This window comes from Homo sapiens, chromosome 11 (assembly GCF_000001405.40).
Source record: "Homo sapiens chromosome 11, GRCh38.p14 Primary Assembly".
In the NCBI taxonomy this organism is placed as follows: Eukaryota; Metazoa; Chordata; class Mammalia; order Primates; family Hominidae; genus Homo; species Homo sapiens.
In genome coordinates, this window is record NC_000011.10 from 127,400,969 (window position 1) to 127,422,586 (window position 21,618).

The following is a 21,618-nucleotide window of genomic DNA, read 5'->3' on the forward strand; positions in this document are numbered from 1 at the left end:
GCAACTTCATGTTCTTTCTACCTTGAATACTTTCCTGCTTTTGCATGTGCCTGGGACCTCTGTATCTATCAAACTCTACAAAGGAGGATCCATCACTGTGAAACTTTCTTGACTCTCCAAACTGAGTTACTCTCCTTCCTCAGGTCTACATCCCAGTTTTGTTATCACACTTATATTATTGTATGCAACACCACGTATTACAATTATTTGTATATTTGCCTTTACCTATAATGTGTTCTTTGAAACAAAAGCCTCTTGTCACATTCTTCTCTATGACCTGAGGTAAGTAGGGCTTGTGTTATGAATACTGTAAGTCATAAGTAGGAGGCAACTTGGTAGTTTGGTTGTTTATTTCAATATAGATAAATCTGGGAAAGTGGAATGCTTTTGGTGGGGACTACAATGGTATATTGGAAGCAAATATTATGAAAAGATAATGTGGTGGTCAGGGCCAAGGTCAGCCAAACCAAAGCTAGTACTTCCAATAAACTGAAATTGTAGAGAACTGGTTGTACTTTCACTACTGAAGGGAGCTATTCATTCACATCAGGCCTCAGATTATTAAAACATCTTGTATGCTCTATTGGGAAACTAAGAGATATGATTAAAAATATATAAATATGTCCTTGAAAACTAACTCAGCAATATTTATGGGTAATTAGGCGAGTGTAAGAGAAAAATAGGAGGAGTAAGGAATGAGTTCAGTGGTTTCCATCTGTGATTCAGGTGAAAAGGCTGTGTGGAGAGAAACAGGGGATCCATCTGGGGTCCTGGGGCTTTGTGTAGGAGTACCATTGTTTCATGAAGAAATAAACACACCTGTGCTCGGAGCTTGCCAGCAAAGCCAATCTGTTTCACATTTTAAACTCACTCAATTATAAAATCTATGGGTCTCTCCGGAATAGAAGTGTGTCAGGATAACATCCCCCCATCTCCAAATTAGTGGCAACAACCCAATAATACCATTGCCCAAGCTAATGCTTTTATCAAATGTGTGTGTCTGCAGAGCTTGCCAGCCTGGATAGCAGCATGAGGATCTTAGTGTGGTTCCCATCTCATCCCATTGACTAGGACCTAGTATCCTTAGTAGTGTAAAATCTGAAGCAAAATCAAAGTGAATTAATAAAAAGGCTTAGAAATTTTGAACAGTGGTTGCCTTTGAAAGTCTGGAAGAATAAAGGTGAGGAAAAATCATCATATGGATATTTTGTATAAAAATGAAGCAAAAGAAGAAGAAAAAAGCCCACCATGTCATTTTCCAGGGATTTTTTTTTTCACTAGTGTATGAAAAATCGTTGTGTATGTGTGTGTGTGCGTGCTGAGAGGGCAGTGGGATTGGTGATAGTGGTCTCTAGACCCAATTCAATGTGTTCATTCAAATTCGTATGAAGCAAAAGCCCATAATTTTTGAAAGCCGGTTTTTTAAATGATTTTTAAGTCACTCGTTTGCTTCTTCAACATAATGTGGCTTTCGTAAGGTTAAGGTCTAAGACTAATATAGAACTAGCATAGAACTAATGCTCCTTACAGTGTCTGGAACATGATAGACAGCCAATAAATGATTACCGATTAAGTAAAAGATTGGGAGGGAGTAAAAAAGGAAAAAAAGGGAGAGAAAATGTCAATAACTAGCATCTTCTGATAATTCCTAAAGTTTTTTGCACTTTTGGAATTAGCTATCCATGGAAATTTATCCCTACGTGTCCCATGATCTAGGATAAGGGTTGGCAGCCTATAGTGTTGGTGGTGGCATTCAAACCAGCTGGCACTAGTGTATAATCTGGCATAAACTAATATATTCACTCTCATGTCCTGATTTTCCAAGACTCAGAATGTGAACTAACAATCTTACTTCTCTCAATTAGAACCTCCCAAATCTCCCCTGATTCATCTTGCCCAAGACTGTCTTTCACATTTGGTATCACCTCCACCCACCAGCACATATAGTTACAGGATTCTTTCCACATAAGTCATGTGTATTCTAATGTGATATTTTGGAGAAAATGGCCCCATGCTTTGTTGTGTAAACCAAAGGGGTGACTCCAGAGATGCCCATTTCAATCCAGGTTGTGGAAAAGAGGCACCAAGTTTTATTTGTATATCTTAATGTATCTGCAGTTATTGGCTTGTCAGCTGCAGTATAGTCAGACATTGCTATAAGTGCCTACTCAGAATGTTATAAAAATCAGAAAGTCACAGAGTTTGAAGCAGAGGCCAGTCTTTCCCATTAGCCAAGTCATTTTGGTGTTATCATGAGCTGTCCAACACAGTAATCACTAGACACATGGGGCTATTTAAATGTAAATGTAAGTGAATAAAATAAAATAAAATAAAATTTTAATTTTTGGTAGCACCAGTCATATTTCAAGTACTCTGTAGCCCCATGTGGCTAGTGCTACCACATTGGAGACAGCGCAGGTGAAGAACACTTTTATTATTGCACAAAGTTCTATTGGGCAGTCCTGTAGAACTCAGGTGTTTTGGAAAATTTGAAAGAATGAGAGGATACATTTAGGAGACCACCATAATATTTTTGGCACTTGTAGCATTACTAGAAAGCAGAAAAAATTGGTTTATTTTATTCAAGCTAAAAGATTTTCATGATGTTTGTGACCTCTTATTATTAATAAGATAGGTAACTGTGGCAAATAAACTTGTGTTTACTTTGTATTTTTTTTTTCAGCTCACCATGCTGTGCTTTTGTTTCTGGTTAAATATTTGCATTGTTGGTCCTTGGGCCTGAAATTCCATAGAATATAGAATTGATTATCCATTCCCTCTTCTGCCATAATAGACGCAAAAACGGCAGGCCAGTAGCAGGCACATGTTGGAACAAGTGGGACCCGAATCGTACTTTGCCCATTTATTTTTTTATATAAGCAAAACTCTGATGGGGGTTATGTGGCCCAAATGTTTATAAAATTTATGGAACCGAAACACCTGAGAAATGTTTTAGCTGTATAGTCAGCTCATGAGTAACTACGAGTTGTCCTTTTCTTTCTCCTTTTCTGTTTCCTTTTCTTCCTTATTCCTACCTCTCTTTTTTCATCTCTATCTTCCTCCCTCCACCCCTAAACACATACCTGTTGCATGTTGCTGAGATTCTGAGAAGCGGTCAGTGAATATGACAGACACGGTGCCTGTTATCATGGAGCTCACAGTCCGGGAAAAAGACAACAGAAAATTACCTACAAAAGTAATTGTTCAAGAATATTCTGATAAGTGTAATAAAGGAAGAATGTAGGCTGATAAAGAAACAAGCAAAAAACTGTGATGACGGGGAAACTTGACTCTGCCTGGAAGGTAAAACAAGAAATAATAATGGATACCAATAGGTGGATCTTTGGTTTACCCTTAATTAATGAATGGGCTTTTCTTCTTCCTACACAACAGGCCAGGCGAAGTGTGCTGTGCAACCACACGGCACTACTGATGTTTCTTGCATGAAGTCTGAGCCCCTCTGAGCCTTGTGACCTAAATTGCAAGGCTGGTCTCATGAAGCTGTTCTCAGAGCAAGAGTTAAGAATTACTGCAGGTGAGAAGTCTGGAAGACAGTTGGGAATGGATGAGGAGTGTGAGGGTGCTGCTGTGAGCCATTTTCTATTACACAAAAATAAATTTGTTCTACCTAGGGCTCAGGAGGGGAAAGATGAGGGCACACACATATTTCTTTGTCGGCAGTTATGTTTTCTTGGCAGCTTTGTTACTCGGACCCATCAATGTCAACTCATTGATCCCAACTTAGCTTGTTGGCTCTCTCCACTGGTTTAAAAAAATGTTTCTAAATTATACTGGATCCCATGATAAACTATATTCAGCTATCCCCATTGCTGTAGACTTTCCCTGACTTCTGTGGCTACATTATGAGTTGTGCTTTTGCCTTTATTCTTATTCTTTTTGTCTTTATTATTGCTCTTTTTATCACAGCACCTTCATCTTTTACCTCCGTCCTGATCAGATTCTGACTGTTAGTTGCTGATGCCTATGAAATTTGGAATGATTACTTATTAAAAGGTTCAGGGTAATCCTTTGATGTCATCGGATTTAAGAAATATGATAATGTGTTAAAATACATGTAACATCTTTCTCTGATCGTGTCTGTGCTTGCGTGTGTGTGTGTGTGTGTGTGTGTGTGTGCATATGGTTGGTCTTTCCTCAAATGCGCTCATGCAGTGTCACTTTTGGAATGCAGTTGTCTCCTCAAAGTGGCTATCAAGGGAATTAGGACTCAAATTAAGGATTATTAAAAAGACATTCACGCTGAAATATGTTATTACTGCAAAAGCTGTTCTTGCATTAGCAAAAGGAAGTTAGTGGAACAACTGTCATTTACAGCCGAGGCTGTAAATCAAAATTCTGCAAAGCAGCCTTGTTTTTCCACTCCAATAGCATCCTTCTCTCCTCTGCAATTCTGTCACCATGAACTTTGGCAAGCACTTCATTTTATGGAATACCAGGCAGGCTCAGAAACCAGTAGAATGTTGGCTACTGCTTCCCGCATTTCCCCCTAACACTAACTGTTTCCTTTTTGGCTTTTGGGGTGTTGGCACAGCAGAAATTTGAGGCTTTGGATGGCGGGTCTGGGAATCTAGTACTATTGTAATTTGTTTAGTAAGCTATTTGACTGGTACTGTGATATATGTTGGGGCTACTAGATGAGAAAGACACGTGCCTGATCTTCAAGAACAAAAATGTTGCAGCTTTTCCTAAACTCAGTCTTTCTCCAATATTCTCTAGCTCACTTGTTAGTTCAGATACTACTGGGTCATTCTGTTGGAAATCGGGGCCTGATCCTTGCTTCCTCCCTCTTCTCACCCACCACTCGCGATATCACCCACCTCACAGACACATCATAACACTTTCTCTTAGCCTCCTCAATCTTTCTTGAATCTGCTCTCCCTCTAGTGCTTGCTTCACCAATATTGTCATCATTTCTTGCCTTTATTATTGCAGTAATCCCTTAATCATCTATACTGTCTTCAGTTTCCTCCTCTTCTCTCTCCTCTCTGCTTCTATTCTCCCCAAAGAATCCAACCACCAAAACTCAGAAGCAAAATGTAAATTGGGTCACATCATGTTTTTTACCCCAATTCCATCAATAGTTAGAGTGGGCATAGGATTAATTTTGAGAGCTTGTTTGCAGATTCGAGCAGAGGAGCACAGCTATTCGTATACCCTTGACTGAAGAATGGTCCTCCTCTACAAGGGATAGTCGTCCTCTTCAAGTGCGCATGCAGCTTCAGGAGGGACACACATGGAGCGGTGAGGGGACAAGGGGACTTTTGCCTGGCCAGCCAGATCAGCGGAATCAACCCTGGTGATCAATGCGATGACATATGTTATAGCTAGATCACCCTCACATCCAAGTTTGAGTAATTTAACTCTATTAGAACCTTGGCTAACTTTTCATCTGATTCTATATTACTTCTGAATTTTATGTAGTTTTCTATGGAATACCCCACCACGATGTGGTCCCTCTCTCCTTCTCTCTCACTTTCTCTTTTATGCACACACACACACACACTCTCTCTCTCTCTCTCTCTCTCTCTCACATACAGGAATGATGGCTTTAAATTCAATAATTGTTGCCAGAAGAAAGTCTTCACTGAATCCCCAGATGTCCAGGCTGAGTAGGAAACCTTTTTCCTATGCTCTTAGAAAATGAGATCCCTTACATTTTTATATAAATGTTAAAATCAGTTTGTCAATTTTGGTAAAGAAATCAGTGGGACTTTTGATTGACACTGTATTTAATTTGAAGATTATTGTTATTATTATTTTGAGACAGTATCTTGCTCTGTCACCAAGCCTAGAGTGTAGTGATGTGAACATGGCTCACTGCAGCCTTGACCTCATAGGCTCAAGCGAGGAGATCAGTTTTGGAAGCATTCCCATCTTTACGACATTATCTTCCCATCCATGAAAATTGAATGTCTCCATTTATATAAGTTTTCTGTAATCCCTTCCAATGTTTTGCGGTTTCTCTTTAGAGCATATTTTTTTTCTCCTTCTATTAAATTATTTTTAAGTGTTTTATTCTATTTTATGCTATTATAATTAGAACTGTTTTCTAAACTTCATTTTTGTATTGTTCATTGCAAGGGTGTAGAAATTCAGTTGATTTTTGTATATTGATCTTTCATCCTTCAACCTTGCTGCACTTGCATGTTAGTTGTAACAGCTTTTTAGTGGATTCCTTAGTATTTTCTGCATACAAAATCATGTTGTCTGCAAATAGAAATAATTTTACTCTGGATGATTTTATGTCTTTTCTTTGCATAATTGTCTTGAATAGAAGATCCAATACTGTGTTGGACAGAATTGGCAAGAGGAGGCATCCTTATCTTGGTCCTGAACTTGAGGGAAAAGTATTCTGTCTCTTCACTATTAAGTATGGTGTTAGTTATGGGTTTTCTTTTTTTTTCATAGATATCCTTTGTCTGTTTGAGAATGTTTCCTTCTAATCGTAGTTGGTTGAGTGTTTTTGTCATGAATATGTGTTGAAGTTTGTCAAATACTTAGTTCAGCATCTATTTGGGGGGTCATTTCTCTCTATTTCTACTGAAAGAGTATGTCATATTAATTGATTTTCTTGTTAAATTTATTTTACTTTTCTGGGATAAATTCCAGAAAGTCATAGGAGTAATCTCTAGATCACTAAATACAATAATCGTTCCTTAGGCCTCATTCTCTGACCTCTCTAAAGAATTTTGATACAGGTCCATGTACATTTTCTGTTGATTCTGTAGTTTGTATCTTTCTAGGAATTTATACATTTCCTCTAGGTTTTCTAATTTGTTGGTATATAGTTGTTCTTAGTATCTCTTAGTTTTTATTTCAGTGAGGTTGCTAGTAATATCTCTCTTTCTTTCTTGATTTTATGGATGTGAGGGGGATGTGGCTGTGACATTTGCCACCCCATTGATCGCCAGGGTTGTTTTGGCTGATCCGGTTGGCTAGGCAGCTGTCCCCCTCACCACTCCATGTCCGCCCCTTCTGAAGCTGCATGCTTAGTGGAAAAGGATGACCATCCTTGATAGAAGAGGACTGGTCTTCAGTCAAGGGTCTAAGAGTAGCTGCGCTCCCCTGCTACAACTTCCAAACAAGCTCTCATTCTTGATTTTATTATTTTAAGTCTTCTTTCTTATTTTTCTTGGTCAGTCTAGCTAAAGTTTGTCAATTTTGTTGATCTTTTTCAACAACCAACTCTTGCTTTTGTTGATTTTCACTATTGTTTTTCTTTCTGTATTTCATTAACTTTCATACTAACATTTATGATGTCATTTCTCTGCTTGTTTTAGGCTAGCTTGCTTTTCTTATACCAGTACCTTATTTGGAAAATTAGGTTCCTGATTTTAGATCTTGTATACTTCTTCTGCTTTCTTCTCAATTTATAGCTATAAATACTGTAAGTTGAGAAGAAAGCAGAAGAAATATACATTTATATAATTTTATAATTTTTATACTTACATAATTAACTTTTCTGGTGCTTTTTGTTTTATAGTATTTGTAGGTATAAATTGAGAAGAAAGGAGAAGAAATATACTTTTTAAATAATTACATAATTAACTTTTCTGGTGTTCTTTTATTTTGTAGTATTTGTAGTTATAAATCGAGGAGAAAGAAGAAATATACTTTTTTATAATTACATAATAAATTTTTCTGGTGCTCTTTTTTTTTTTCCATATTGGTTCATTTACTTTTTGGAGTTGGTCTTTCTTGGCAAAATTGCATTTTCAGCCTGAAGGACTTCCTTTAGTACTGCTAGCAATGAATTCTCTCAGCTTGTGTTTATCTGGATATATCTTTATTATGCCTTAACTTTTGTAGAATTGTTTTTCTGGTTATAAGATTCTCGGTTTACATTTTTTCTTTCAACATTTTGAATATATAATTAACTGCTTTCTAGCCTACATTGTTTCTGACGAAAAGTAAGATCTTAATCTTATTAGGGTTTCCTTGTCCATGACAAGTCATTTCTTTCTTGCTGCTTCTAAGATTTTTGTCTTTTTATTTCAGTGTTTTTACTATAATATGTTTGGATATTGATAACTTTGCATGTAATATACCTGGAGTTCTTGATATTCTTTTCTTTTTTTTTTGAGACAGAGTCTTGCTCTTTCACCCAGGTTGGAGTGCAGTGGCGCGACCTCAGCTCACTGCAACCTCTGCCTCCTGGGTTCAAGCGATTTTCCTGCCTTGGCCTCCCCAGTAGCTGGGATTACAGGTGCGCACCACCACACTCAGCTAATTTTTTGTATTTTTTAGTAGAGACAGGGTTTCACCATGTTGGCCAGGCTGATCTTGAACTCCTGACCTTATGATTTGCCTGCCTCAGCCTCCCAAAGTGCTGGGATTACAGGCATGAGCCACCATACCCAGCCTCTTGATATTCTTAAATGTGGAGATTAATACTTTTTGTCAAATTTAGGATGTTTCCAGCCATCGTTTTCTAGAAAATTTTTGGAATGTTTTTCTCCTTCTTTTTTTACTCAGCTATGTCTACTAATCCTGTTACAAGTATTTTAGTACACATTATGTCATCATCTATTTCTCTGAGGCTCTTAATTTTCTTCATTCATTTTCTGTTATTCAGATTATATATTTTATATTTATCTTCAAGTTTGCCAATTCTTTCTTCTGCAAGTTCAAATGTACTGTTGAGCCTTTCTAGTAAAATTTTTATTTCAGTTTTTGTACTTTTAAATCCAGGATTTCCATTTGGTTCTTTTTTATTTTAATTATTTATATCTCTCTATTTATAGTCCTATTTGATTACTGATTATCATCATACCTTCTTTTTTTTCTTTAATCATGGTTTCCTTTTACCCTTTTAAATATAGGGAGACTCTTTTTCAATCTTTGTTAAGTCTGACATCTGAGCCCCTTCAAAAGCATCAAAGGTGGTTTCTGTTGCCTGCTTTTATATACAAGTCATACTTTTCTGTTTGTTTCACTGGACATTTTTAGATAATTTCGCAACTCTAAATACTGCTCCCTCCCTTCTAGGGCTTCCTGTTGTTGTTTGCTTGTTTATTTTCTTAGTGGTTTAGCTAAACTATTTTTTTTTCATAGTGTGAAGCCTCTGAAGTCACTCTTTAGAGGGTGTAGCCTTGGGCATGCGCACAGTCACCCTGGGATGACAGTGTTTCAGCAGGCTTTCTTTCACTGTCTCTCTTCATGTTAAACTCTGCCTCTTCTGGCATTATATCCAGCTTTAGCTTCACTAATTGTTGGTTAATTGTTCTATTGTTCTTGACTATAGCCGGGGCATAAATGGTTTCATAGTTTTATCCAGTTAAACTTGTGACCCTGTACAGGGGTACTTTTTGAAGCCAGTGTTTGAGCTTAGTTCTGACCTAGAAGGGCTCTTCTTAGTTGTTTCTTCCTGGTTCTCTCTGAAATAAAATAGCAGAACTCTACTTTATCTTATTGCTCTCATAGAGCTACCAACATTCTCTTAACTACTTACCACAAAAATCTCCATGGTTTTCAAAGCTTGAACTTTCCTATGCTCTGTTTCAAATAAAGTTTGTTTCTTTGGGAAAGTTTCACATTTTCTGTTCTTATGACCTGCCTTTTTCCCTGGGCAAAATCTTTACACCACTGATCTGGAGATGGGGTCAGGCACAGTGACCTGCTTATACAAAAGTGACACCTTGCTTTATAGTCACGGTACTGGATGTAGGCAGTAGCTTCTGCTCTGCTCTTCTGGGCTTTTCTCTGACAGCATGGAAACTCTTCCTGACATGCAAGCTGTGGCAAAGAGAATCTGGGACCCCAAGTTCTCTGACGGCCATGCCTAGGCACATAACCTCCACTCTATGGGTGGGGGCTGGGAGGAGAAAGGGAGCTATTGACCTCTTAGCCATACTGATCTAGAATTTAGCCTCTTTAACAGGAAGTTATGGGTAATGAGGAATGCCTGCAGGCTGCTCCTCCCAGAGAAGCACTGTAGCCTTTGATTGGGAGTTGTAGGAGAGTGCAGTCTGTTTTCTTAGCAACCCTCCACAGAGTGGGGCTTTCATCATGCTGATCTGGGCCAAGGGAGCAGAGGGAACATGTCATGGTTCAAGTGCCATAGCTCCTGTTGTATCAGTATTTAGTTGATTTTCTTGAATCAATGTTTCCTCATTTGCTGCATGACATTATAACAATTTCCAGAGACTTCAAATAGTTGTTTTAAAAATAATTGTCAGCAGTTGTGATTGTTTCACTGTGGAGTGGCCCCTCAAAGCTCCTTAAACTGTTATGGGATCTTTTCCGGCCAGAAACCTCTGTGGCTGGTGGCGCCTTTGCCCAAGTTTTGCTGAGGCCCACTGAGCTCGTTTCTCCCACTCAGGCTGGCAGGCTGTGCTTGGCTCATGCTACCAACCTCGGTCGTATGCCTGCCAAGGGTGAGTCAGGCATGGAACAGTGAGGGGTGTAGGAGCAAGCGTGGGGTCCAGCCACTGAACACAGTCAGACATACTGGCTACAGTAGGTCAGGCAGCTCCAGGTGCTGGCACGAACACTGGCTCTCTGCAAGGCTGGAGTCAGACCAGTTGCACCACAAGCAGCTTCCATGGCTGGCACTGGGGAACATGGAGATGCCAGGAACCACAGGGCCCCAAGGAGGGAGGCACAGCCTTGGCTTGAGGAGCTCCCAGGTCTGGGCTCCCTGAAAGGCCACAGCCCTTCTTTCCATCTCTTCGCCCGCAAGGTGGCAAGCAAGAGGCATGTCTCAGCCCTGTTAGTGTTATAGCTCTTTTAGCCTCACCATTTGTTGGGTCCTGAGTTCTTGTCCTGTGACCAGGAAGAATGAGGTATGCAGGTGAGTGGAAGGTGAGCAAGACAAAGAGGAGCTTTATTGAGTGATAGAACAGCCGAGAGGAAACCTGCAGGAGGCAGCTCCTTTCGGCAGTCAGGGTGTCCTGATGAGTGTTCAGCTTCTAGAAGAGAGGGTAGCTCCTCTGCTAGGCAAGTTGCCCTGACAAGTGTCAGCTCTCAGCAGAGAGGGTAGCTCCTCTCTGCAGCTGGCTGTCCCATCATCTGCACAGCTCTCAGCAGAGAGGAAGTCGTAGAGTGGGTGGCTCCTCTCTGCAGGCAGGTCATCCCGTCACCTCCTCCCATCGTCTCTCTGTCATCTCTGCAGCTCTCAGCAGATTGGAGGCCCTAGAGTGGGTGACTCCTGTCTGCAGGAAGGTGGTCCCATAGTCTGCAGCTCTCAGGAGAGAGGAGGCCCTAGAGTGTGGTGCTCCCCTCTGCATTGGTCATTGGTCATCTCATTGTCTGCTCAGCTCTGGCTGAGTCTGGGACTTTTATGGGTCCCAGAGCGGGGGAAGTGCACTCCAATTGGTCCATGGGTGGCCGTGGGTGGGCCCGAAAAAGGCATCACAAGTTCCTACTCTTGTCCACGGAACTGGCAGCCTGGCACCCAGCCTTCAGGCCCTTCCTGTCCTGAATGCGGGGCCTCAGTGAGGACCCACCTCCTCCTGCCCAGGAGCCTGTCTGTGCTGTTCATGGCGCCCAGGCTGTAGGTGCCAAGGGGCATCTGCAGGCCAGTGCAGAGCAGCCCTCAGCCCCACCTCTCAACTTCCCTCCTATGCTCGTCAGTGCCCAAAGTCCTGAGGGGCCCAAGGCGGCACTGCCCTGAGCATGTGCACCCCCAGCCAGGCTGCAACAGCACCCAAGTTCAGCCCCAAGTTTGCTCCAAGATTGGAGTGGGCACTGACAGCAGGGAGAATCCAGGCAGTGAGAGCAGGAACTTCTGAGCCTGTGAGGGCAGGGGCACTTCCTGGACCCCAACAGTGCAGGGATTCCTGGGTCCACAGCTGTGGTTTGAGTGGCTGCATCTGCACTGGCAGGACGGGGCTCCTGCCTGCTCCCTGGAGTTGGAGGCCTGGGTCTGCAGCCGAGGTTTGGGTGGCTGTAGCTCTACCTGGCTTCTGTCTGCTTTATGGAGCAGGAGGCCCGGGTCTGTAACCACTGTTTGGACAGCTGCAGCTGTGCCTGGGAGGGTGGGGCTCTGGCCTGCTTCTGGGTCCTTAGTGCACAGATATGCCCAGGTCTGCAGCCATGGCTTGGGAAGCTGCACGGGCACCTAGGGTGCTATTGCACCGACTGGGAAGGGACGGGGTTCCCGCTTGTCCACAGCTCCTGCTGGCTTCATGGAGTTTGCAGCCCCGGCTGTGCCTCCTGGCTGCAGCCAACGTGATGGCAGCAGCCGCTCCAGATGGCCCGCCACTGCCATCAAAATCACTATTCTAGACATGTATCTTTGGTTGAGTGTGTGTGTGTGTGTTACAAACTGCACTGTTAAACTCTATTACTGTACTTATTTTTAGTGTTTTCTTTTACATATGCCAAATAGTATTGGTAGTTGTTTACAATACTGATACAAAGTTTCATTTTAAAAGCAAATTATTTGTCTACATAATAGGTGTAATAGTAATGAAAATCCTAGCTGTTACTAAAATAGAGGACATTAATTATCATGTCAAACTGAAGAAAAAGGAAAGACATGAATGACCCCTTTTAGCTCTCACTCTAAAATAAACCAGCATCATCCACAGTGCCTTTGCCCATCACTAACATTTATGTTCGCTCCTAGCACCCTGGTTTTGGTTTCTAATGTTCCCCATTAAAGAAGAATCAAGATTTATAGAAAACAGTTTGAGACAAGAAAAAAAATCAATATAGCTCTAGAAAAGACTATTATTGACAGAAAGCAGGTATATTTTTAAGAAGTTCAAGAGCAGTAATAATAAACAAAAAAAACTGGCTTAAAGAACATTACTGGGAAAGTTATGATAATTTGGATATTAAAGGAAATAGTAATATGGTTAATTACAAAAATTATGAAAAGCTAGAATGTTTCATACCAAAGAAAAATGAAATCGAAAATAGTTTAATTTTACTTGTTTAATTGGTTGACAAATACTATCATATCTGAGTAATTTATTCTTTTAGGTACATAATTGCAAGGCACAGATATGTGCTTGTTTTTATGTTTTTAAATATAAATTCATAAATACAGGAAACTTGAAGTAAGTCAGATAGTCCTAGGCAAATTAGGAACTGTACCAAGAACTCATTAAGAATAAATCTATAAAATTTGTCATATAAATCTTGTTAAACTATCAGTTATAAAGGGTCTATTGGTTAATAAGCAAAATTATAACTTATTACCAAATTTTAGTTTGTTTCAGGATAACATATGAGTCAAATACCCTCTACCTCTGAAAGTAGTCTAAATGTGCAGTGGATTTGACATCACCTATGACATACGACCTCCAACTGACACTTCTAACTAGGTGCTGGTGAGGCATTCATTTGTTTTAAAAAATGTTAACAAAATGAATAAATATATTATGATGGGAGATAGATATATTATGGTTGCAGGACAGCAAGCAATGCCAGGTAAATAAGACTCCAAGAGACTATCATTCTGTGGAAAGGTCCCAAGTGGAAAAATACGCAAAGCTAAATAGAATACATGGAGTCCAAAGGCTTTATCGATATAATTAATGAAGTTAAAACATAAGAAGGAAGCTGAATCTGATGTAAGGCCTTAAGGTTGGGTCATATTTGGAAAAAGCAACCACATGTTACATCCTGACCAGTAAGCCATTAACTTATAACCCAGGTCTTGTAATATTGGCTGGTCTGAAATGATATTATTTATCCTTTTTGTCTGGTAAAATCTTCAACCTTGGAGAAATATCTGAATAAGTTTAACAATCTTTGGTAGGTATCACAATAACTATAGGCTAAGTAAGTATTTAAAAAGTCCATAAATAATGAGAAAATCAACTAAACCATGGTACTCATAAGTTAGAATAGGTTTTAGACTAAGCATGGTGGTTTTTTCAGAACAGAGATAATATCTATATTTTTGTATAATTTACTTGCTATTAAAGTATTTAAAGCATCTAAAAGAATCAGTCACACTAAATTTGTAAATGTGGCTTAAATTGTTTAAGAAAATATTAATAATATGTGTCCATTCATGTCTATATAAACTTGTTTAAAGATTATTAAATATATATTTAATAAATTGAGCATTCAATGAAGTACAATTGATAGGGGTTTTTGTTTATGCAGATAAATCCCTTGGACATGAATCAAATCTACAGTAAAAAAGCAAATTTATTGAAAAAAATTAAGTAAATATTGATAAAGATGGTTGAGGATTTAAGGCCAAAAGAGTGAAGAAAACATGTAGATAACTGATATTTGGATAAACATTTTTTTAAGGGTTTTAAGTATTAAAAAACAAAACACAGCTATTTGTGCTGGGCAGATTTGGGTTGAATCCTTGGTACATCATTTATTAGCTGTGTACTTTGAGAGACAACTTTCCAATTCCTTAGTGTCCTCATCTGCAAAACTGGGATAATAATACTTCCCTTCAAGGGTAAGGACAGCATGCTTAACACAGTATATGAGAAGTGATGACATTTTCAAAGATGGTTGGTGTTATTTTTACCATTCTTTAAAAATGCAAATACTCTTGGGAAAGATAGTATAATAAACTAAACCAATTCATGCTTATTTTTATTCTACCATGCTTCTTCTTTTTTCTTTCTCAGTCAAGCCCCTTAAAATGCTTATGTACATAACCACCCCCCAACCCCCCACCCTTCTTTCACTACATTCGCTTTCAGCCTACTGCAATCTGGCTTCTAGTCTTACAGTTTTGTTGAAATGTTCTCTACGTTTTTCAGGCTTTATTGAAAATCACCTATTTGTAGCATTTGACAATATTACCGTATCTTCCAACTTAATATAATTTCCTTTCATCCTCCCCTTATTGACACCCTCTGCCATCTGTGGTCTTCCTTTAACCCCTTCTTTTCAGTCCTTTTGGCTGAAGCATTTATTTTTGCCACTCCTAAATGAGGGAATTCATAAAAATTCCATCTCCTGATTTCTTTTCTTATTATACTTTAAGTTCTAGGGTAGATGCACACAACGTGCAGGTTTGTTACATATGTATACATGTGCCATGTTGGTGTGCTGCACCCATTAACTCGACATTTACATTAGGTATATCTCCTATTGCTATCCCTCCCCCTTCCCCCAACCCTATGACAGGCCCTGGTGTGTGATGTTCCCCACCCTGTGTCCAGGTGTTCTCATTGTTCAATTCCCACCTATGAGTGAGAACATGCGGTGTTTGGTTTTCTGTCCTTGTGATAGTTTGCTCAGAATGATGGTTTCCAGCTTCATCCATGTCCTGCAAACGACATGAACTCATCCTTTTTTATGGCTGCATAGTATTCCATGGTGTATATGTGCCACATTTTCTTAATCCAGTCCATCATTGATGGACATTTGGGTTGGTTCCAAGTCTTTCCTATTGTGAATAGTGCCGCAATAAACATACGTGTACATGTGTCTTTATAGCAGCATGATTTATAATCCTTTGGGTATATACCCAGTAATGGGGTGGCTGGGTTGAATGGTATTTCTATTTCTATATCCTTGAGGAATTGCCAGACTGTCTTTCACAATGGTTGAACTAGTTTACAGTCCCACCAACAGTGTAAAAGTGTTCCCATTTCTCCACATCCTCTCCAGCACCTGTTGTTTCCTGACTTTTTAATGATAACCATTCAAACTGGTGTGCCATCTCCTGATTTCTTTATCATCCAGCCCACTCTTAGGGAATATCATCGAATCCCAACAGAATTCTAAAATCTCTATTCATGGACTTGACTTGTCCCAAGTTCCATACCTACATAACCAAATAATAAATAATCAAATAGATGAGCTTCTCTAACTTGACAAATTATAACTCAAATGCGTTATCTTCTCTGTTTTCCTTAACTTAATTGGAGATCGCACTACTCAAAAGTAAAATCTGGGTTTTTTTCTCACCCTGTTTCCTTACATTATGAAGACCCACTATGTGCCAACCACTATGTGAATGTCTCAGATTACACTGGGGTGTGTGTGTGCGTGTGTGTGTGTGTGTGACAGACAGAGAGAGAAAGAGAGACCATTTCTGATCCCATAGAGTTTGCTGCCTCTGTGGAGGAGACACACAAGTCTACAGAAATCAAAAATAAATGTGCACTATGAAAACACTTAATGTTGGTAATTGACTTATAAAAGTCAAGGAAGGTTTTATTAAGAAACTGATGATTTGGTTAGGCCTAAGAGAAGTGTAAGAGTTAGACAAAGTGACTGACATTCCAAGCAGAAGCAATACTATGTCCAAAGGCCCCAGGGAGAGAGGAGTCGTGGTGAAGACCAGGAACAAAAATAAGCCCAATTGTAGCAAGAATAGAGAGAGTTCTAGAAATGGCAGGAGTGGTAAGGGGGAGAATAGGACTTTGGGCTTTACCTAAAGGTTAGTTGTTTCTTTTGTTTGTTTTTTTTTTTAATAAAAATTATATTGAATTTTTGTGGGTATAGGAGGTGTATATATTTATGGGGTACATGAGATGTTTTGATACAGACACGCAATGTGTGATAATCACATCTGGGTAAGTGGGGATATCCATCCCCTCAATAATTTAGCCTTTTTTTTTTTTTTTTTACAAACAATCAAATTATATTCTTTTCGTTATTTTAAAATGCCCAATTAGATTATTATTGACTATAGTCACACTTTGTGCGATCAAATGCTAAGTCTTATTCATTCATTGTAACTACTTTTGGTACCCATTAACCATTCCTACTTCCCTGCCCCCACACCTCACTCCCCAGTACCCTCCCAGCCACTGGTAACCATCCTTCTACTCTCTCTGTCTGTGAGATTCATTGTTTTGATTTTTAGCTCCCATAAATCAGTGAGAATATGCGGTTTGTCTTTCTGTGCCTGGCTTACTTAACTTACCATAGTGACCATCAGTTCCACCCATGTTGTTGCAAATGACAGGATCTCATTCTTTTTATGGCCGGATAGTACTCCATTGTGCATATGTACCATATTTGCTTTATCCACTCCTCTGTTGATGAACACAGGTTGCTTCCAAAGCTTGGCTATTGTGAACAGTACTGCAACAAACATAGGAGTGCAGATATCTCTTTGACATACTGATTTTCTTCTTTTGGGTATATCCAGGGGTAGGATTTTGAGATCATATGGAGCTCTATTTTTAGTTTTCAAAGGAACCTCCAACGTGTTTTCCATAGTGATTGTACTAATTTACATTCCCACCAACAGTGTACAAGAGTTCCCTTTTCTTCTATCCACCAGCACTTGTTAATGCCTGTCTTTTGGATAAAAGCCATTTTAACTGGAGTGAGATAATACCCCATTGTAGTACTGATTTGCGTTTCTCTGATGATCAATGATGTTGAGCACCTTTTCATATGCCTGTTTGCATGTCTTCTTTTGAGAAATGTCTATTCAGATCTTTTGCCCATTTTAAAATCAGATTATTAGAATTTTTTCCCATAGAGTTGTTTGAGCTCCTTATATATTCTGGTTACTATTTTCTTGTCAGATAGGTAGTTTGCAAATATGTTCTCCCGTTCTGTGGGTTGTCTCTTTATTTTGCTGATTATTTCCTTTGCTGTGCAGAAGGTTTTTAACTTGAAGTGATCCCATTTGTCCATTTTTGCTTTGGTTGCCTGTAGTTGTCGGGTATCACTCAAGAAATTTTTGCCCGGGCTAATGTCCTGGAAAATTTCTCCAGTGTTTTCATGTAATAGTTTCATAGTTTGAGGTCTTAGATTGAAGTCTTTAATCCATTTTGATTGAATTTTTGTATATGGCAAGAGATAGATGTCTGCTTTCATTTTTCTGCATAAGGATATACAGTTTTCTCAGCACAATTTATTGAAGAGACTGTATTTTCCTCAATGTATGCTCTTTGCACCTTTGTCAACAACAAGTTCACTGTAGGTGTATGGATTTGTTTCTAGGTTCTCTATTCAGTTCCATTGGCCTATGCGTCTGTTTTTATGCCAGTATCATGCTGTTTGGGTTACTATAGCTCTGAGGTATAATTTGAAGTCAGGAATGTCCTTCCTCTGGTATTGGTCTTTTTGCTCAGAATGGCTTTGGCTATTCTGGGTCTTTTATGGTTTTATATAAATTTTAGGATTTGTTTTATTTCTTTGAAGAATGTCATTGTTATTTTGATAGGAATTGCAATGTATCTATATTTATAGATACATTGTTTATATGTATAGATACATTTTCTTTGGGTAGTATGGCCATTTTAATGATATTGATTCTTCCAATCCATTATCATGGAATATCTTTCCTTTTTTGGCGTCCTCTTCAATTTCTTTCATCAGTGTTTTTTAGTTTTCATTGCAGAGATCTTTCACTTCACTGGCTAAGTTAATTCCTAGGTATTTAACTTTTTGTGGCTATTGTAAATGGGATTACTTTTTAAATTTCCTTTTCAGATTGCTCAGAGTTGGCATATAGAAATGCTACTGATTTTTGTTTGTATGTTGATTTTTTGTCCTGCAACTTTACTAAATTTGTTTATCAATTCTAATATGGTTTGGGTAGAGTCTTTAGGTTTTTCCAAATATAAGATCATATCATCTGTTAACAAGGATAACTTGACTTCTTCCTTTCCAATTTTGTGCCTTTTTTTTTCTTGTCCAATTGCCCTATCTAGGACTTCCAGTACTATGTTGAATAACAATGGTGAAAGTGGGCATCCTTGTTGTGTTCCAGGTCACAGAGGAAAGGCTTTCATTTTTTTCCCATTCAGTATGATAGTAACTGTTGGTCTGTCATATAAATGGCTTTTATTATATTGAGGTATATTCCCTCTATATCCAGTTTTTTGAGTTTTTTTATCATAAAAGGATATTGCATTTTATCAAATACCTTTTCAGCATCAATTGAAATGCTCATATAGTTTTTATTCTTCATTCTGTTGATATGATGTATCATGTTGACTGATTTGCATATTTTGAGCCATTCTTGCATCTCAGAGGTAAATCCCACTTGTCATGATAAACGATCTTTCTGATGTACTGTTGAATTCAGTTTGCTAGCATTTTGTTGAGGATTTTTGGATGAGTATTCATCAGAGATATTGGCTTGTAGTTTTCTCTTTATAATATGTCTTTGTCTGGTTTTGGTATGAGGGTAATACTGGCCTTGTAGAATGAGTTTGGAAGTAGCCCCTCTTCTATTTTTTGAAATAGTTTGAGAAGGACTGGCATTAGTTCTTTAAATGTTTGGTAGAATTCAGCAGTGAAGCCATCAGGTCTTCAGTTTTTCTTTTCTGGGAAACTTTTTATTATGGCCTCAATCTTGTTACTTGTTATTGGTCTGTTCAGATTTTGAGTTTCTTCCTGATTCAATCTTGGTCAGTTGTATGTATCTAGGAATTTGTCAATTTCTTCTAGATTTTCCAATTTATTGGCATGTAGTTACTCATAGCAGCCACTAATAGCCCTTTGGATTTCTGCAGTATCAGTTGGAATTTCTCCTTTTTCATTTCTGATTTTATTTATCTGGATCTTCTCTCTCTTTTTTTAAGTTACTATGGCAAAAGGTTTGTCAATTTTCTTTAGCTTTTCAAAAAATCAGCTTTTTGTTTCATTGTTCTTTTATATATTTTTAATTTCAATTTCATTTATTTCTGCTTTGTTCTTTATTATGTTTTTTCTTCTACTAAATCTGGGTTTGCTTTCCTCTTTCTTTTCTAGTTCTTTAAGATGAATTGTTAGGTTATTTATTTGAAGTTTTTCTTTTTTTTTGATGTAGGCACTTATAGCTATAATTTCGTCTCTCACTACTGCTTTTGCTGTATCCCGTAGGTTTTGGTATGTTATGTTTCTATTATCATTTGTTTCAAGAAATTTTTCAATTACCTTCTTAATTTTTTCATTGACCCAGTGGTTGTTCTGGAGCATATTGTTTAATTTCTGTGTGTTTGTATAGCTTCCAAAATTCCTCTTGTTATTGATTTCTAATTTTGTTCTATTGCAGTTAGAGAAGATGCTTGATATTATTTCAATTTTTTGAATGTTTTAAGACTTGTTTTGTTACCTAACATAACGTCTGTCCTTTAGAATGATCCATGTGCTGAGAAGAAGAATGTGCGTTCTGCGGCTGTTGGGTGAAATATTCTGTAAATATCTATTGGGTCAATTTGTTCTATAGTGGAGATTAAGTCTGATGTTTCTTTGTTGATTTTCTGTTTGGAAGACCTGTTCAATGCTAAAAGAGAAATGTTGAAGTCTCCAGCTATTATTGTATTGAAGCCTATCCCTTTCTTTAGCTGGAATAATATTTGCATTATCTATCTAGGTGCTCTGGCTTTGGGAGCATATATATTTATACTTGTTGTATCTTCTTGCTAAACTGAATACTGTATCATTATGAAATGCCCTTTCCTGTTTCTTCTTACAGTTTTTGTCTTAAAATCTATTCTGCCTGATATAATTATAGCTACTCCTGGTACTTTTTATTTTCCATTGGCATGGAGTATCTTTTTCCATCTTTTTATCAGTCTACATGTATCTTTATAGGTGAAGTGTGTTTCTTGTGGGCAACAGATCATTGGGTATTTTTTGTTTTTTAATCCATTCAAGCACTCTGTGTCTTGATTGGAGAGTTTATTTCATTTGCAATCAGTGCTAGTATTCATAAGTAAGGACTTACTCTCTCCAGTTTGTTATTTATTTTCTGATTGTTTTGTGGTCTTCTCTTCCTTCTTTCCTTTCTTCCTGTCTTCCTTTTAATGAAGGTGATTTTTTTCTGGCAGTATGATTTTATTTTTTGTGTATTCACTGTATGTTTCTCGATTTGAGGTTATCATGAGGCTTGCAAATACTAACTTACAACCATTATTTTGAACTGATGACAGCTTAACACTGGTTGCAAAAACAAACCAGCTAAAAGAAAATTAATAAAAACTTTACAATTTAACTCTGTTAGTCCACTTTTCAACTTCTTGTTTTTTGTCTCTTCATGTCTTATTGTATTCTCTATGTCTTGAAAAGTTGTTGTAGTTATTATTTTTGATTGGTTTATCAACTTAGTCTTTCTACTTAAGATTAGAGTAGTTTATACACCACAAATACAAATTTATAATGTTCTGTGTTTTTCTGTGGGCTTACTATTACCAGTGAGTTTTGTACCTTCAAGATGATTTCTTATTGCCCATTTACATATTTTTTCTGACTGAACAACTTCCTTTAGCATTTTTGGTAAGAGAGGCCTGATGTTGATAAAATTTCTCAGCTTTTTTTTTTTGTCTAAAAAAGTCTTTATTTATTCTTCATGCTTGAAGGATATTTTTGCCAGATATACTATTCTAGGGTGAAAGCTTTTTCCCTTCAGCACTTAAAATTTGTCATGCTACTCTCTCTTGGCCTATGAAGTTTGTACTGAAAAGTCTGCTGCCAAACTTATTGGAACACTTGTATGTTATTTGTTTCTTTTCTTTTGCAGCTTTTCTAATCTTTTCATTATCCTTTGCCTTTGGGAGTTTGGTTTTTAAATGACTTGAGGTAGTCTTCTTTGGACTCAATCTTCTTGGTGTTATATAATCTTTTTGTATTTGAATATTGATATCTTTCTCTAGGTTTTAGAAGTCCTTTTATATTATCCCTTTGAATAAACTTTCTACCCCTATGTCTTTCTCTGTCTCCTCTTTAAAGCCAATAACTCGGATTTGCCCTTTTGAGGCTATTTTCCAA

The 21,618-nt window shown here is 38.1% G+C and overlaps 2 pseudogenes, besides 2 other annotated features; one reads left to right on the plus strand and one right to left on the minus strand.

Annotated features, from left to right (window-relative positions):
* On the minus strand, positions 5,060-5,364 carry RN7SKP121 (RN7SK pseudogene 121; annotated as a pseudogene).
* Positions 6,883-7,180, plus strand: RN7SKP279 (RN7SK pseudogene 279; annotated as a pseudogene).
* Positions 10,450-10,950: an enhancer, noted in NCBI's record as "H3K4me1 hESC enhancer chr11:127281313-127281813 (GRCh37/hg19 assembly coordinates)". NCBI's record gives its function as "activates a minimal SCP1, AML or CMV promoter by ChIP-STARR-seq in naive H9 embryonic stem cells {active_cell/tissue: H9 hESC(naive)}" and the evidence as "EXISTENCE:reporter gene assay evidence [ECO:0000049][PMID:30033119]".
* Positions 11,223-11,801: an enhancer, noted in NCBI's record as "H3K27ac-H3K4me1 hESC enhancer chr11:127282086-127282664 (GRCh37/hg19 assembly coordinates)". NCBI's record gives its function as "activates a minimal SCP1, AML or CMV promoter by ChIP-STARR-seq in naive H9 embryonic stem cells {active_cell/tissue: H9 hESC(naive)}" and the evidence as "EXISTENCE:reporter gene assay evidence [ECO:0000049][PMID:30033119]".